Source organism: Homo sapiens, chromosome 15, assembly GCF_000001405.40.
Source record: "Homo sapiens chromosome 15, GRCh38.p14 Primary Assembly".
NCBI classification, from domain to species: Eukaryota; Metazoa; Chordata; class Mammalia; order Primates; family Hominidae; genus Homo; species Homo sapiens.
Window position 1 is genome coordinate 92,669,629 of NC_000015.10, and position 17,758 is coordinate 92,687,386.

At 42.4% G+C, this 17,758-nt stretch overlaps 2 annotated features.

Moving 5' to 3' along the window:
- Positions 13,811 to 14,105: a silencer, noted in NCBI's record as "tiled region #7580; HepG2 Repressive non-DNase unmatched - State 13:Ctcf". NCBI's record gives its function as "represses a minimal TATA promoter and a strong SV40 promoter by Sharpr-MPRA in HepG2 cells {active_cell/tissue: HepG2}" and the evidence as "EXISTENCE:reporter gene assay evidence [ECO:0000049][PMID:27701403]".
- Positions 16,409 to 16,578: an enhancer, noted in NCBI's record as "experimental_42675 CRE fragment used in MPRA reporter constructs". NCBI's record gives its function as "activates a minimal promoter by MPRAs in K562 erythroleukemia cells, with activity observed for both the introgressed and non-introgressed 15:93229352 variant alleles {active_cell/tissue: K562}" and the evidence as "EXISTENCE:reporter gene assay evidence [ECO:0000049][PMID:34662402]".

Consider the following 17,758-nt stretch of genomic DNA (forward strand, 5'->3'; position numbering starts at 1 on the left):
TCCTCTAGGACAGTTAAGGTGGACCAGCTGTCCCAGTCCAGGCAGGAATGAAGAAGTTGCCCAGAATGTGAGACTTTCAGTGCTAAAACTAGGAGAGTCCGGGGCAAACAAGGGCAACTCTAATAGCACAGATCACATTGTTTTGGAGTTAGCTGTCTTTCTGATAAGATTGGAGGCAGCAGAAAGCTTACTTTGATCATCTTCGTGTCCCCAACACCTATCCTGGTGTCAGGCACTTATATAGCCCATACTCAATAAATAGGTGCTGAACGCATTATTGAGGTAGTGTGGAGGCAGTGGAGGAACTAAAGGCCGTGGTTCGGATCCCATCCCCTCGCTGTATGACCTTAGGCAAGTTATTATTTTCATTTGTATATTTGTTTGTTACTGAATGATTGAAGGCAAATTTCTTGGTCTCGGCCTCTGTTTCCTCATTTGTAAAATGGACATAATACCAATTTCGTAAGAATGTTGTAAAGATTAAATGCATGTAGGGGCTGGGCGCGGTGGCTCACGCCTGTAATCCCAGCACTTTGGGAGGCCGAGGCGGGCAGATCACGAGGTCAGGAGATCGAGACCATCCTGGCTAACACGGTGAAACCCCGTCTCTACTAAAAATACAAAAAATTAGCCGGGCATGGTGGCGGGCGCCTGTAGTCCCAGCTACTCGAGAGGCTGAGGCAGGAGAATGGCGTGAACCCGGGAGGCGGAGCTTGCAGTGAGCCGAGATCGCGCCACCGCACTCCAGCCTGGACAACAGAGGGAGACTCCATCTCAAAAAAAAAAAAAAAAAGCATATGAAGTGCTTAACACAATGCCAGGCATATAACAAGCTTTCAATAAATGTTAGCTGCTATTTATATTCACTTTTTTTAAAGAGTTAGCACAGTGCATTCAATAAGGGTTTGTTCCCTTCTCCCCATTAAACAAATTAATACAGGTGGCCTTAAATGTAATTATACCACAGAGAAGGCTTCCCTTAGGACAGGGATCAGCCACCTTGGTTGCACATTAGAATCCCCTGGAGGACCTTACAAACACTGATGCTCAACTCCAGGCCAATTAATTCAAATCTTTGATGGATCCATGCATCAGCACGTTTAAAGGGCTCCCCTGAGGAGTCTAATAGGCAGCCAGTTGAGAACTTCTGCCTTAGGGCACTGGGTTGTGGCTCTTTACCTCTTAATTGCTGTACTGGGTCTTTCCAAAGTTATCCCTACTCTAGCTATTGTCAACCGCAAGTGTTTAATACCCTCTGTTCCCTTCACTTTGTCTTCAGGGCAGGAACTGGAGAATTCTCAGCTCCCTAACCATTCCTGGCCTGTCCCCAAGTTCCTAACAGCTTTTCACAGCTTGCCTATCCCTTCAGAGCCTTCACAGCTTGATATTCCCCCAGGAAGTTGAAGAAATGAAAAAGAGGTCACTTCATCTGTGTCTTCCTTAAGGGGACAGATGGTTCCATTTTCTAGCCAGTGTTTCTCAAACTGGAGTCCACAGACATGTTCTCAGGGACCCGCCAGTTCTGTATGAGGATTTTTTTTCTTTGCATTTTCAATTTGCTAATAATCTAAAAATATTACTATTGTCATTAACTGGTTGCCCCTTTATAAAAGACTGCAAGATTTGAGTGCCCCTACAAAATTCGGTATTTGAGGGGTTTTCATTTGTTTGCTTTGTGAGACAGGGCTCTCACTGTCACTCAGGCTGAAGTGCGGTGTTATGATCATAGCTCACTGCAGCCTCGAACTCCCAGACTCAAGCCATCCTCCCTCCTCAGCCTCCTGAGTAGCTAGAACTACAGGCGTGAGCCACCACACCTAGCTGATCTTTGAGTTGTGTAAAGGCAATGCACACATACAGATTTCGAATTAGTTCAGATAGAAGGACCAAGCAGGGAACCAAATCCTCCCATGGCACAAAGCAATTGAAGCAAAACAGACTCCAAATGACCAGCAAGTAGTTGTTAGTCTCAAATTAGCTGCAGAAACAGATGCAGTTTGTGCATCCTGTCAAAACGTAAGTGTTTGCAGCAGTTCATTAGCAGTGAGTAGTAAATATACATTTACTAAGATATTTTCTTCTCCCATTCCAAAAAAAATGGGAAGAGAAACCCCAGTTGAGGTAGATTTTAATAAAGCTATAATGCTAATTATATCCTTAAGTGAATGTGAGCCATGTACACATTTATCAAGGGCCATATAGTGCCTGATTGTCCAGCAGTAGCAAATACAGCCTTGACGTTAAATACCATGTGTGCCTCATTCTAATAAGAGACAGTCTTTGCATGGATATTATTAAAGTCAAAATACAGCAATAGATATAAAACTAGACCCAAGGCTGCATCTTTTCATTATTAAGCCAACAATAGGCATTTATTTTTAGTACAGCTCATCATAAGTCCCATCAAAATAATGTCGTTTAGATGTGCCTATGTACTCTCTTCTGCTTTCAATTTGTAAATTTGTTTTTGGTTTTATAGGTGCATAAGAGCTTGAAGCATAAACAGTTTATGCCTAGTTTTATTTTACACCTAATTAAGAGATGGTAAAAAATAACTCTATTGTAGCTGTCAATCCTCAATGATCTTTTCCCTGGTGGTCTGGAACACTCGTGCTGGCTACAGATCAGAATCAGACAGAGATTGTCAGACACACAGGCTGCCAGAGGTTGGAGACTCGGGGCTAGAGGACAGGACACTTCCCCGGGCTCCGGATCTGCTTTGTCACTAAGGGCAGAGGCTATTTGGTGATTTATGGACATGGGTTCTTGGTCCTGTCATTTCACCATCTGCCCTCCCCTCCCGCTCCCACTTCCACCTCCCCTGGGCCTCAGTTTCCTCGATTCCCTGAGGTCTGTAGTCCTATCTGTCCCTAATTTTCAGTGGTTCTGTGATTCTTGCCTTCAGTGCGTTATCAGCTGAAGGTAGAGGATAAAGCACCCGCAGGGCTTGGGGTCAGACCTGGCTGAGAATTCTGACCCAGGCACTGCCCCACCTGGGACATTTAAACTTGATGAGCCTTGGGCTCCTTGCTGTAAAATGGAGAGGATAACGCTGTCGCCACTAGATGCTGCACAGATTAAACGAGATCAGAAATGTCTGGTAGGCACAGCCACTGCTCCCTGCCCGACTGGGCATTCAGTGCATGTTCGATACTGCCTTTAAAGTTCCTGTTTGTCTTCAGGAGGGGTTCCTGGGCCTAACTGAAAAGAAGAATTTGTTTTTGTTGTTTTTAAAGCTCAGCCCATAACCTCCTTTCAACCAAACAAGGTCTTCCTGAAACTTCTCTAGATTTCTGAATGTTTAGCTTCAGGATGCACCAAGGAGATGGGAGAAGCTCCCTGAGGGGCCTAGGCTGAAGCCAGGGGGTGATGGGTCCCAAGGACTGCCCTGAGACAAGCCCCTTTCAGGGACCAGAGGAGAAAGAATCATACTCGCTCCATTCCAGGACAAGTGAAAAGGAGGCATGTGTTTCCTGTGCACTTTTCAGCTAGCTGTAATGAAGCAAGCTCATTTTATATTTGATTTTAACAAAGAGAGAATGACTGATGGCTTCAAACACACACATCTGCCATGCCTGTTTACCCACATGAAATTAATCAGAGGACTTCAGGGCTGATGCTGGAAACATGGGTGAGGAGGGCAGGGTTCGCTTGCCCCCACCCCCACCTAAGGTCAGCTTTGGAGTTCGGGAAAAGCTCTTAGCTCCAACTTTCTCAATGAAGAGAGGCTTCTCACACTGCAGAGAGACAGGGAGGCTCCCGCAGCCCTAAGCCTAGGACCCCCAGAACTCTCTGAGCCCAGGTTCCCAACACCTGGTGGGTAGGTAGGAGGAAGCTTTCCATTCAGCCAAGATTCACAGAACCCCACACTGTGAGCCCTCCTCCCTGGCAGAGGTAGAGTTACCGCTGCCTGGACCCCTGAGGGCACAGGGAACCCAAGGGTTCTGAGACACTGGGTTTCATCGTCCTCACCTCCTCCCAGCTGTGCTACATAAAACATCAGTTGTGTAGGATATTGTGTTCATTTTCTGGGGCTACCATAACAATGTGCTACCGACTGGGTGGCTTTAACTACAGAAACTTATTCCCTCAGTTCTGGAAGCTAAAAGTCTGAGATCAAGGTTTTATAGGGTTGGTTCCTTTGGAGGCCTCGCTCCTTGGTTTGCAGATGGCTGCCTTCTCCAGTGGCTTCCTGTGGTCTTCCCTCTGTGTGTGTCTGTGTGCTGATCACCTTTTCTTATGAGAACGTCACTCATATTGGGTTAGGGCCCACCCTAATGTCCTCATTTTCACTTAATTACCTCTTTAAACACATTATCTCCATATATGGCTACATTCTGAAGTACTGGGAGTTAGGACTTCAACATATGAATTTTGAATAGATACAATTCAGCCTCTAGCAGATACTATAATGGGTTAATCTTATGTGTCAACTTGGCTAGTCTGTAATACCTAGTTGTTTGATCAAACTGCAGTTTAGATATTGCTGTGAAGTTATTTTTTAGATACAAATAACATTTACAATCAGTAGACTTTTTTTTTTTTTTTTTTTTTTTTTTTGAGACAGAGTCTCACTCTTTCGCCCAGGCTGGAGTGCAGTGGTGCAATCTTGGCTCACTGCAACCTCTGCCTCTGGGGTTCAAGCAATTCTCCTGCCTCAGCCTCCCAAGTAGTTGGGACCACAGGCATGAGCCACCATGCCCAGCTAATTTTTTTGTATTTGTAGTAGAGACAGGGTTTCATCATGTCGGCCAGGCTGGTCTCAAACTCCTGACCTCAGGTGATCAGCCCACCTCAGCCTCCCAAAGTGCTGGGATTACATGTGTAAGCCACCGCGCCCAGCCACAATCAGGAGACTCTGAATAAAGCAGATTACTCTTTATGATGTGGGTGGGCCTCACCCAATCAGTTGAATGCCTTAAGAACAAAGACAGAGGCCCCTCAAAGAGCAATTCTGCCTCCAGATTGCAACATAGGAATTATACCTGAGTTTCCAACCTCAAACCAAAGACTATAACATCAACTCTTGCCCAAATTTCCAGCCCGTCTGCCCACCCCACAGATTTCAGTCTGTCAGCCCCAACAATCACGTGAGCCAGTTCCTTAAAACGAACCTCAGTCTCTCTTCCTATCCCTCTCCCACCCTGCCCCTTCATATCGATATTAGTCAAGTTTCTCCAGAGAAATAGAGCCAATTTCATACATATTGGCAGTCAAAGAGACCAACGTATATGACCAACATCAGCAGGTCATAGGATATGACCTTAATTTGGTTAAGACCACCAGGTTGGCCTCCAAAGCCGCTGCACAGGTCAACCTTCCCACCAGCAGCACATGATTCCTTATGTCCCTACACACTCCCAATAACAGGTGGCATAATCCAACTGTCTAATTTTGGCATTCTAACAGGTCTAAGTGTCAGCTCTTTCTTGTTTAACTTGCCGTTCTTGAACAGTATTACTAACGATTTGGAGCATGTGCTCATGGTAGCCTTTTTGGTTTTGTCATGGAGATAAAATTTCTTCTCTACCTTCTTAGTGTTTCTGGCTGGGCCCAAGAATTAAATTGTCATAAGACAGATTAACAGGAGAAAAATACAAATTTTATTTATTTATTTATTTATTTTCTTTGAGACAGAGTTTCGCTTTTGTTGCCCAGGCTGGAGTGCAATGGTGCGATCTCGGCTCACCGCAACCTCCGCCTCCCAGGTTCAAGCGATTCTCCTGCCTCAGCCTCCTGAGTAGCTGGGATTACAGTCATGCACCACCATGCCCAGCTAATTTTGTATTTTTAGTAGAGATGGGGTTTCTCCTTGTTGGTTAGGCTGGTCTCGAACTCCCAGCCTCAGGTGATCTGCCCGCCCCACCCTCCCAGAGTGCTGGGATTACAGGTGTGAGCCACTGCACCCGGCCACAAATTTTATTTAGTAATTTTTACATGTGTATGAGAGTCCCCACAAGCAAAATGAAGACCCAAAGAAGCAGTTAGAGGCTAACACTTACATACTAGGCTGGACAAAGAGCAGTATATTGTGAGAACATGACAAGACAAAGGAGCCTGGGCCAGGGCAGTTAGTGGTGGAGCTGTCACTGGGAAGATAAACGCCAGTTTAACAAGGTTGGGTTGTGCAGATTTCTCTTGGCCTCAACTCCTCATCTCTGGTTTTAAGAAGGTCTTTCTTCCTCCTGGTACAGAGGGGGCCCCTTTCACTAAGCAGTTTTGGCTCCCACTTTCGGGGAGAAAAAGAAGGATCAGAGTGTCATTCTTGCTTGTGCTGTTTTTCAAAGTGCCTTTAATTCAAAATAACCAGGCTGGGTGCAGTGGCTCACGCCTGTAATCCCAGCACTTTGGGAGGCTGAGGCGGGTGGATCACGAGGTCAAGAGTTCAAGACCAGCCTGGCCAAGATGGTGAAACCCCGTCTCTACTAAAAATTCAAAAATTAGCCGGGTGCAGTGGCAGGCGCCTGTAATCCCAGCTACTTGGGAGGCCAAAGCAGGAGAATCACTTGAACTCAGAGGGCGGAGGTTGCAGTGAGCCAAGATTGCGCCACTGCACTCCAGCCTGGGCAACAGAGTGAGACTCCGTCTCAAAAAATAAATTAAATAAATAAAAATAACCGATATGCCAGAGTGGCAAGTTTGGGGCTGGAATATTTCGATTTCCTACAGTTTCTACTTTCATAAGTTGCTTCTTTGAATCCCTTTCCATGTTTCTGAGGACATTTCTGTATTGTTTTATTCTTTGGTAGAGTTTCTTGAATAGCTTAGGTATCTGCCATGGACCGAATTGCAAGCCCCCAAAACTCATATGCTGACCTCCTAACCCACAATGTTATGGTATTTGAAGATGCGGTTTGGGGGAGGCAATGAGATCATGAGGGTGGAGCCCTCATGATGGTATTAGTGCCCTTGTAAGAAAAGATGCTCTCTCTTTTCCATGAAAGAAGGTAGCCATCTGCAAGCCTGGAAGAGAATCCTCAACCAGCACCCTGATATTGGACTTCCCAGCCTCTGAAACTGTGAGAAATAAATTTTGTGGTTTAAGCCACCCAATCTACAGTATTTTGTTATAGAAGCCCTAACTAAGACAATGTTAATCCCTCGTAAATCTCGGTCTCTCTCCCTCTCTCTCTCCCACCCTCCCCCTTCATATCTGTAATAGTCACTGCTTAGATATCCTGCATATTTTAAATGGTACAGCTCCCTGTAGCAATAAAATGAGATACCAAGAAAATGGATCACTATTTCTTTATTATGGGAATTAGTAAAACCACATTCTATGCTTTACTGTTCAAGCATTGCAACTTCACTGTTTTAAGCATTGCCAACTATGCTATTATCTATTAGCTGCCATTCTGTTATCTATTAACTTTATAATGATGTCCTGTATTTTGATAGGATCAAGTATGTCTTCTGCTGAAAGGTTTTGTTTAGAAGGCTCTTCCCTATCTCTAAATCACAAAGATATTTTCCATTTTCAGCTTGTATTTTCTTTAATTTTTAATTATTGAATCCATCTGGAATCTGCCTTTACATGTGGTGTTATGTTCATATCCAGTTTTAATTTCCTTTATGTAGTGAGGCACAGTATGAAGGAATTTGGGGGTAAAAAAAAAAAAAGAAATATGTAATGAGGCAGCTTTCTCAATACCTTCTATTAAACAACCATTCTTTCCCCCATTGATTTTGTGGATTAAGTTCCCACATGTACCCGACTCTGTCTAAGAGCTCTCCTCTCTGTTCTCTTGGTCTATCCATCTTCCCAAGTCCATTCTATATTGTCTTTACTACTATGGCTTTGAAATTGTTCTAATATGGGGAGTGAATGTCCCCCCCTCACCTTCCATTCTTTGCTCTTTTTTTAGAGTTTGCTTAGTTATTTGTGGCCTTTTATTCTTCCTTATATTTTATAATTTATGTTAGTCTAAAATTATTATTGAGTTCACAAAAAAATTCAACTGAGATTTTTATTGGGATTGCATTGAGTTTAGAGATTAGGAGAAATTTAACATCTCTGTAATATTAAATTATCCCATCAAAAGCATGGACTATGTTTCCATAGATGATCCTCTATGTCATTCTGAGTTTAAATTTATTTTCATAAAAATCTTGTGTATTTTTATATATGTTAACACCTAAATACTTATCGATATTGTGAATAGTATCTTATTACTGTCAAAATTTCTAATTGGATATGACTGGTGTGAAGAAATACTATTTATTTTATTTCTGGATAATGTTATACCCAGCAAAATCTTCCAAGTCCATTTATTAGTTCTAATCATTGATCTTGTTAGACTATCAACATAGATATTTATATCATGTATAAACAGTTTTATTTCTTCCTTTCAATCCTTTCTCCTCTTATTTCTTTATCCCACTGGCCAGAATCTCCATGCTGCGTTAAACAGTAGCTGCATAGGTGTCTTAGTCCATTTTCTGTTGCTTATAACAATCCCTGAAACTGAGAAGTTTATAAAGAAAAGGAACTTATTTCTTACCATCATGGGAACTAAGAAGTCCAAGGTCAAGGAGCCACATCTGGTGCGGACCATCTTGCTGATCTTTTTACATAGAGACTCTGCAGAGTCATCAGGCAGCACAGGGCATCACATGACAAGTCGGCTGAGCATGCTAAGCTTAGGTCTGTTTTCCTCTTATAAAGCCACCAGTTCCTCTCCCGTGATGATCCATTAATCCATTTACCCATTAAGCTATGAATGGATTAATCTATTCATGACCCAATCACTTCTTAAAGGCCCCACCTCTCAATAATTGCACATTAGGAATTAAATTTCAATGTGAGTTCTGGAGGGAACAAATACTCAAACCACAGCAATAGGAATATCTTAAAGTAACATTTCTGTTCGCTCTTAGCAGTGAAAACTTGGTTGAGTTTCTTCACCATCCTGAATCTCCATTTCTCCAACTGATACGCCTTCCTTGCAAGGTTGTTGTAATGATCGTGATAATAACCCCAAAGTTCCCGGCACACTGTAGGGGCTCAAAGCATAGAGTGTGGTTTCACTAATTCCCATAATAAAGATAAAGCTATCCATTTTCTTTTTTAAAAATTACTTCCACCTTCTATGTCTTTATTCTGTATGAATATATATACAAAGATACATTTAGAAATAAACATAAATAGGTAGATAAACACACATATACAGGATTATATGAGTATGTCTAAATAAATATTCATGTATACAAAGGATGTTCCCCAAAAGACATTTTCAATACCCCAGCATATTCTAAGCATGCAGACATAGACTTACTTCCCTTCCACATGGCTCAATAACATCCCAGATTGGAAAACAGCCCTACAGTATTGTTTGTATAAACAAAGCTTCACCTTTAGGGGCAAGGTCTGGGAAGTAAGCTGGCAGTACAGCCATGTAATGCTTTATGTCTAGGTTAGCATTTCAGGACCCAGCTTTCCTTCTCACCGTATGCCTATTCACATGCACCCTTTGGGGCCTGCCTTGATTCTTCAGCAGTCCGAATTTAGCTAATTGGCTGATTAAAATCACCTGGGCTCAACTAATTGGCTGATTGGAAGCACCTGGGCTGGAGAGGCTGGGTAGGGAAATGACCTCTGATCTACTTTTCTTTTGGGGAATTTTTACAAGACATATTCACAAATGGACATTACATAGACATATTCCTATAACCCTGTGTGTTTTTGTATCTATTGACATATATCTGTATTTAAATCTACAGAAAAAAGACTCTAAAGAAAACTGATATTTGCTTTCAGTATCACGGTCTATCTTCATTCAAGTCACAGACCTTTCTTCCCCTACCCAAGGAATCACTTCCCCAGCCACCAATACAGAAAGACAAGAGGGCACTTCTACATCACCCATTCAAAACAAAAGAAAAAAGAAGATCTCCTGAATTGATGGAAGCTTTCATGAGAAGTATTCAGCATTTTCAAATTTGAGTGAGGGCCTTTAAGCTGAAGCTAGTTCATCTCTGGTCCCTTATTCACCAGAAGGGGAAGGGTCAACCTTGACCTGCAATGAATGACTCCCATGGCGTTAGTGCCTTTTCTTCTCCTCACAGAAGTGAGCAACAAGGACCAATGCTTCCTTCCTTCCTTTGTATACATTAAATGCAGCAAGATGTATGTCAGAGCATACCTTTATTTGTGTACTACTGTGGATATCGTTTAGAGGACAAATAAGATTTTACATTATGGAAGCTTCTTTTTGTTTTTTTGTTTTTTGTTGTTGTTGTTGTTGAGACGGAGTCTTGCTCTGTCACCCAGGCTAGAGTGCAGTGGCTTGATCTCGGCTCACTGCAACCTCTGCCTCCCGGGTTCACGCCATTCTCCTGTCTCAGTCTCCTGAGTAGCTGGGACTACAGGCGCCCACCACCACGCCCGGCTAATTTTTTGTATTTTTAGTAGCGATGGGGCTTCACCGTGTTAGCCACTATGGTCTTGATCTCCTGACCTCGTGATCCACCCACCTTGGCCTCCCAGAGTGCTGGGATTACAGGCGTGAGCCACCGTGCCCGGCCCGGAAGTTTCTTTTTGTATTACTATCAGTACCACTATCTATCAATACTTCTACCTTCTATATCTTTATTCTGTATGAATATAGATAGAAATATAGATAGATCTGGATATAGATATACATAGGTCTATAGATAAACACACACATACAAGATTATATGAGTATGTCTATATAAATACTTATGTATACAAAGATGTTCTTCCAGAGACATTTTCAGTTCTCCAGCCCATCCTATGGATGCAGACATAGACTTACTTCCCACTTATCTGGCTCCGTACCATCCCCAGAATGGAACACAGCGATACAATGTTATGTATAAACATAACCAAATCTTTACCTTTAGGGATAAGACCTGGAAAGTAAGCTGCCAGTACTGACATGTAACAGCCATCCATTTTCTCGATATCCCATTCCCATTGTTATAGGGAGCTGCACCATTTAAAATATGTAGGATATCTAAAGTGGAGGGATGGTAATTATTATTTGAATCCAAAATGAATGATTTATAAGACTAGCGGAAAGGATTTCAGCCCCCTACTCTAAAACATTGTTCATTGAGCGTTTTTGCCAAGGGTAAGCAGAGTAAATTATCAATAGCAGCAGCAGGTACATAGATCACCTCAGCTTTTCACTCTAACTTTATAATGTATGTGTCAACAAACTCATTATAGGCACATTTTAAAATAAGCTTTCATGATCAAGATGGTAGTGATAGAGAATATGGGATAAACTGAGTTTTCTATGTTCTAAACTGTTGGGCAATGATTGAAAAAAAAAGAATGTAAATGTCAGGTTTTTTTATTTAACCCAAATATTTGATGAGGAAAACCTGTTATTTAAACCATGTAAAGTTTTAATCTGTATATATTAGACAAGTGCTTAAAGTACTATAGTAATGCAAGTGCATTAATAAATTCTAAGTTTTATTCAATTCTGAAAAAATACATACAAGCCATCAGGCAATTTTGTTTATCAAATTTCATTAAGAAAAGATAGTATCTCCACTAATTGTTGATACATGCTGGTAGGCTGGTCTTCCCGCCTCCCCCCTCAACATGTGTACTGAAATGCTAATAAATGAATCATCAACAGTAATTACAAATATTCTGGGGATGTGATTTCACAGCTCCCATTTTCAGGAAATTGCATATTTTTGCTCTGTTTGGGTGAAAGCATGTTTATAGTAACAACTTAGTAATAAAAGCCATCTTTGAAAACTATTCTGGTTTTTTTATGTGACTGCAGGGATTTTTCTCACGGCTGACAGCTAAGATTTTAAATAACATTTGTAAAACTTGGACAGATTTTCTGTTCTGCTTGGAAGTGGGTGATTTCACAATCCCCCTTAGTGACATCATGCTTAACAGAACTGCAATGAAAGCGATCCAGCCCCCTGTGCTCATTCCTCACTGTGGCTGAAAGATGGTTACAGCTGTGGAAATGGAGCTTGATTTCCCTATACCAGCAGCTTTGATTCTCTGCTTTCAGCACTTTTTCCCCTGTGATTATAAGCGGGAGGATAGTTTTGAATATGAACTACTAGAGTGCATGTAAAGTTGAATTGTGGAATTATAGTTTTAGAAATTACTTTCAGCCGGGCACGGTGGCTCAAGCCTGTAATCCCAGCACTTTGGGAGGCCGAGGCGGGCGAATCATGAGGTCAGGAGTTTGAGACCAGCCTGGCCGCCAGAATGGTAAAACCCCGTCTCTACTAAAAATACAAAAAATTAGCCGGGCATGGTGGCACGCGCCTGTAGTCCCAGCTACTTAGGAGGCTAAGGCAGGAGAATTGTTTGAACCCGGCAGGCGGAGGTTGCAGTAAGCCGAGATCGTGCCACTGCACTCCAGCCTGGGTGACAGAGCAAGACTCTGTCTCAAAAAAAAAAAAAAAAAAAAAAAAGGAAAGAAATTACTTTCAATGTCTACTAGCAATGCCCTACCACCACCACTATCTCCACAAAATATGTAACAGATGAAGTACAGGAAGAATTGTCAGGTATTTCAAAGCATGCATTAAGCACCTACTCTATCCCTACCTTAGTGAAAGGAGATTTGGCCTCATTGTGACATGTAATCTTCCCAGTCGTCTTTTGAGATGGCTAATGGCAATTAACACCAAAGTCCCAATAATAGCTATTGAGAAAGTATATTACAGGGGTTAAGGACTTGGTCTTGAGTCATAAACCCTGTCTTTTTTTAAAATTTTTATTTCCACAGGTTATTGGGGAACAGATGGTGTTTGGTTACATGAACAAGTTCTTTAGTGGTAATTTGTGAGATTTTGGTGCACCCATCACCTGAGCAGTGTACACTGAACCCAATTTGTAGTCTTTTATCCCTCACCCCCTTCGCACTCTTTCCCTGAGTCCCCAAAGTCCATTGTGTCATTCTTATGCCTTTGCATCCTCAGAGCTTAGCTCCCACTCATGAGTGAGAACATACGATGTTTGGTTTTCCATTCCCGAGTTACTTCACTTAAAGTAAGAGTCTCCAATCTCATCCAGGAGAAACCCTGTCTTTAAACTCAGTTCTGCCACCTTAGTTGTGTGACTCTACTTTCTTAACCTCTCTGTGTTTGGGTCTCCTTGTCTGTAAAATAGGAGTAATAATAGGCAGTTGTAGGGATTAAACCAGATAACGCAGGCAGCACACTCTATCAGTTACAAATTATTGTCAGCTGCAAAAACACATAAGGTTTTATTTTTCTCAAGTAAAAAAAAATTCCAGAATTGTGCAAGCTGCTGCTGATGGTTCAGCAGCTCCAGGAGTTCACATCACAGACTCCAGGCCTTTTCCTCATGGCCCCAAGAATGGCCACACTGTTGTCCAGCTGTCAGGTCCAAATTCCTGGCAGGAAGTAGGACAAAAGGGCGAGCTTCACAACTCAGTCAGCCCAGCCCTTGAGGGGCCTTCCTAGAAGACCCTCTATCACCTCACTTCCCTCTCTCTCCCCCAAACTCCCACATGGCTTCCGGCTTGTCACTCCACTGACATGGCTCTAAGCTTAGTCATGATTCCACATTGCTAAATTTCACAGACATGTTCCTCCTCTTCCTTGACCTCCCTTTCTCAGCAGAGCAAGAGCCCCTTCTTGAAATACGCCCTTCTTGTGGCCTCCATGACACTGCACTCTTCTGCCTCTCTTCCTGGCTCTTTGCCCCCACATCCATCTCCTTTGCATATTCATTCTCCTCAGCGCCAAGACCGGCTTCTTTGCTCCCACGGCTTCCCTTCTTAGACCATCTCAGCACCTCCACCTTCATTTCCACCTACATGCTGATGATACCAACTTCCCCTCCAGGCCACACCTCTCCTCTGAACTCCAGACCTGGGTATCCCTCCCTTACCCACTCAAGTCTTCATGGCCTTGTTTCCAAGGCTTCTCACACTCAATATATCCAAGAGTGTTTGTGATCCCCCTGCCCGTAAACATACAAACAACAACTCCATCAGACTTCAAAAGCCTGGCCCCGTCCGCTTGTTCCCCCACCAAGGGAATGGCACCATCTGCTGTCCAGTTGAGCAAGCTGAAACCTGGGAATCGTCCCTGACTGCTTCCCCTCGCTCTCCTCCCATGTCCTACAGGTCTAGGTGACTTTTATTCCTAAAGATCCCCCGAGTCTGTCCACTTGTCTTTGTCCTGCTCCAAGCCACCCTAATCTCTCACTGGCTTATGGAAATGGCCTCCTCACCAGCAAGCTTGGGTCTACTCTTGCTCTGGTCTTTTCTCTGCATGGGAGTCCTGGAGGTCTTTTCAATACACGAATTGATCAGGTCACCATCACCAACACATGTCACCCTCTCTGCCCTCACTTAAAAACTTTCTGTAGCGTCTCATTTCTCCTATAATACAGGCCAAAATCTTTAATACGACCAACAAAGCGCTGAGTGATGGGCCCTGCCTGATTATGAAGCCTCATCTTGCCCTGCAGGCTCCACACTCTGCCCTAACTGTAATGGCCATCTTTCAAGCCTTCAAGCCTTTGCCCTTGCCACCTCTGTCCATGGTGTGGCAATGGGAACAGGTCCCCTGAAGAGAACAGAGAGGAGAGCATTGGTATAGAGAAGACCCAGTTGCTGAGAGGCTGTGGTGCAGGAAAGGTCATCCATGTGGATAAGGAGGTGGTCCAGGATGCTGGGAAGAAGTGGAGAGGATCCCGGCTGTAATCCCAGCGCTTTGGGAGGCTGAGGTGGGCCTCCCAAAGTGGAGATCACTTGAGGCCAGGAGTTCGAGACCAGCCTGACCAACATGGTGAAACCCCATCTCTAGTAAAAATACAAAAATTAACATGGCATGGTGGCGCGTGCCTGTAATCCTGGCTACTCGGGAGGCTGAGGCAGGAGAATCACTTGAACCCAGGAGGCAGAGGTTGCAGTGAGCCAAGATCACACCACTGCACTCCAGTCTGGGTGATAGAGTGAGACTCTGTCTCAAAATAAATAAATAAAGAAACAAAAGTAGACACGCAGGGGAAAAGACTCACGGTCATCTGACAAAGACTTTGGTGGATGTGCAGAAGAAACCCCAAAGTGTAGATGACAAACACAACCTTAGAGGAGTGAGATATTCCAATGGCAGGAGCCCTAAGACACTGGGAGTTTTTGGCTCATGAAGAACGATGTGGAAGCAGCCACGAAAAGCTAAGAGAATGTTAATCCATGCCCTGGCCTGCCCTTCCTCCAGGACCCATGAAACCAGGACCACCACAGAATAAACGGCCTCCACTCGAGAGAGACACAAGGGAAATGGAGACTTAAGCTCTCCCACTCTACCTCTGGCCCCATTTCCCTTCTCCAAGCCCTCCCTCTGTCCCCTTTCCACAGTCTCTTTCTTTCCCCCAGCTGCTTAGTGGCCTCCCCTGTAAAATAAGGATGGTAACATTGATCTTTAAAAAAGCCTCATATAGACTCTGGAATATGTATCCTAGAAGGATTCTCATACAGGTTCATAAGGGGACATGCGCGCTCATGGTAGTGTAGTCTGTGCTAGCAGGGAGGTGGAGCACTGGAGGAACAGACTTGAGTCATGTAGAGAATGCACACTATGGAATATGATGTAGCCTTCAAAAAAGCAGATTGGATGTACACAGGGCAACACGGATAAGGTATAAAAACAGTTCTCCTAGCACCCAGGCTGCGGCCTCGGAGTACAACTTCCCACTCATCAAAAACCAGGCCTCCTTGGAGAAATGACTGACTCTAGGTCTGAGGCAAGAAATGTGTAAGATGAGCCAGGAACATCTTATACCAGCCTGTAAGAAAGCTGTCAAAGACTAAAAAGGTGGTGTTAATAACAACTTTAGAAAAAACAACATGCAATGGCTCTCATCTGCCAAAGATAGGACAATTTAAGCATTGATTGAATAATAACTGCAAATAATATCATCAAAAGTGTTTGAATTCATGGGTTTTATATTAATCTTAAGCCTTATTTCTATATCTTTGAAGGAACTCATTATTTTGAAAATTGATAAATAAAAGTATCAAGCACTTATCTTGCCTTTTCTATACAAACTACATCTCAGTGTTACTGAAGAATTAGTGAGGGAAAGTTTCCCTTTATAGAATATGCCAGCTAATAAATAAACAAGGAGTGATAGAATTAGATTATCAACATTTTGTAACCCCTAAGGAACTCATGGATCTAGGCACTGACCATCAACGTTGCTGACGTAACAAACAAAAAAAAAAAGAAAAAAAAAACCTCAATATTAGACACCTCTTAATGGAAGTCTAAAAGTTTACATACTAAGTATTTCCTGTCCCCCAAAAATTAGACCTGCATCCGACCAAGCATCTATATAATTACCAATTTGCAGGACATAGAGAGGACAGAGAAACATGTTAAACAGCAGCACAGAGATACAGTCAGAAAAATTCAGACTATAGAAAACTCCCTGAATATATTACCTGATCTTCAACAAATAAATTGCAAGATAAAAAAAGATCACAAACACAATGTATAAATCTTATTTGAATCTTGATTCAAGTAACTAAATAATGATGAGACAATTGGGAAACGCTGATCAGCTGAATAGGTGATGATATTAAATGATCATTGCTAATATTAATATTTATGTATGATAATATGATACAGTGATTACATATTTTTAAAGTACTTATATTTTAGAGGTACATACCAAAATACTTACTGATGAAATAGTGATTCTGCCACTTACTTCAGAGCAATGCGTGAGTAGGAAAAAAATGGGTATAGACAAAATATAATTGGCCACAAGTTTGTACTTGACTTTGAGTGATAAGTACATTAAAGTTAAGATACCATTTGATTTTTGAAAATGTTTGAAATTTTTGCATGATAAAAAGTTTTTTAAACAGTAGTGAGTGAAAAAAGAATGAAAACAGGATGAAAGCTACCATACCATTCATGTAAATTTAAAATACAAACACATAAAACAACACAAATAGAAGAACATACATCAAACATATCAGAACGGTTGCTGTTAGTAAGACTGGGGAATGGACATGGAGAATAAGCTAAAAGGGTAAAAAAATAAGTGAAGCAAGAGAGGGACATTGCACTGATCAACAATGAAGTATCACTAATCAACCAACCCTCACAATCTGAGGCCAAAAAAATTTGTCACACAGTTGTGAGGATTAAATGAAATATGTGGGTACTGTTCCTGGCATAGTGCACGGTACATCATAAGACCTTAATAAATGTTTATTTCCCTCCATTCCCTCCACTTTCCACCATCTCCCTACCCTGCAAAGGAATAATGTTATCTCCTAAGTTAATTTACTTTAAGGTACTAAGCCCTGATAACAACTTTACCCTCTGTTTCATTGGCTGAGGCTTACAAGAGAGGGCAATGCTTAAAAAAATGAATCTCTAATAAGTGAAATTCTTGCATTCCAAGCCCTAAGAAGGCCAACCGTGTCCATTGCAAAGGTGATTTTAGGAAGTTTCAGAACTGACCACCTGCCTACAACTCTTCAGGGTGACAGTTTGGACTCATTTCTATCTTCCTTCTTCTCAATCAAATGTATCTACACTAGAAAGTACACCAACTGCTAGCTCATCCCAGGGATCAGAGAACTCCGGGTTGTAGCTTGATCTTAGATGACCATCTAAGTGAAATATTTATGTGCTGAGTTTTGCTCTTCCACTTAACTGGAAAGATTTCCATTTCATGCGCCACCACCCCACATGCCAACCTCTACCATTTCCTCCTCTCTGACTCTTTAGCCATAACTGCCATATTCTTTCCAAA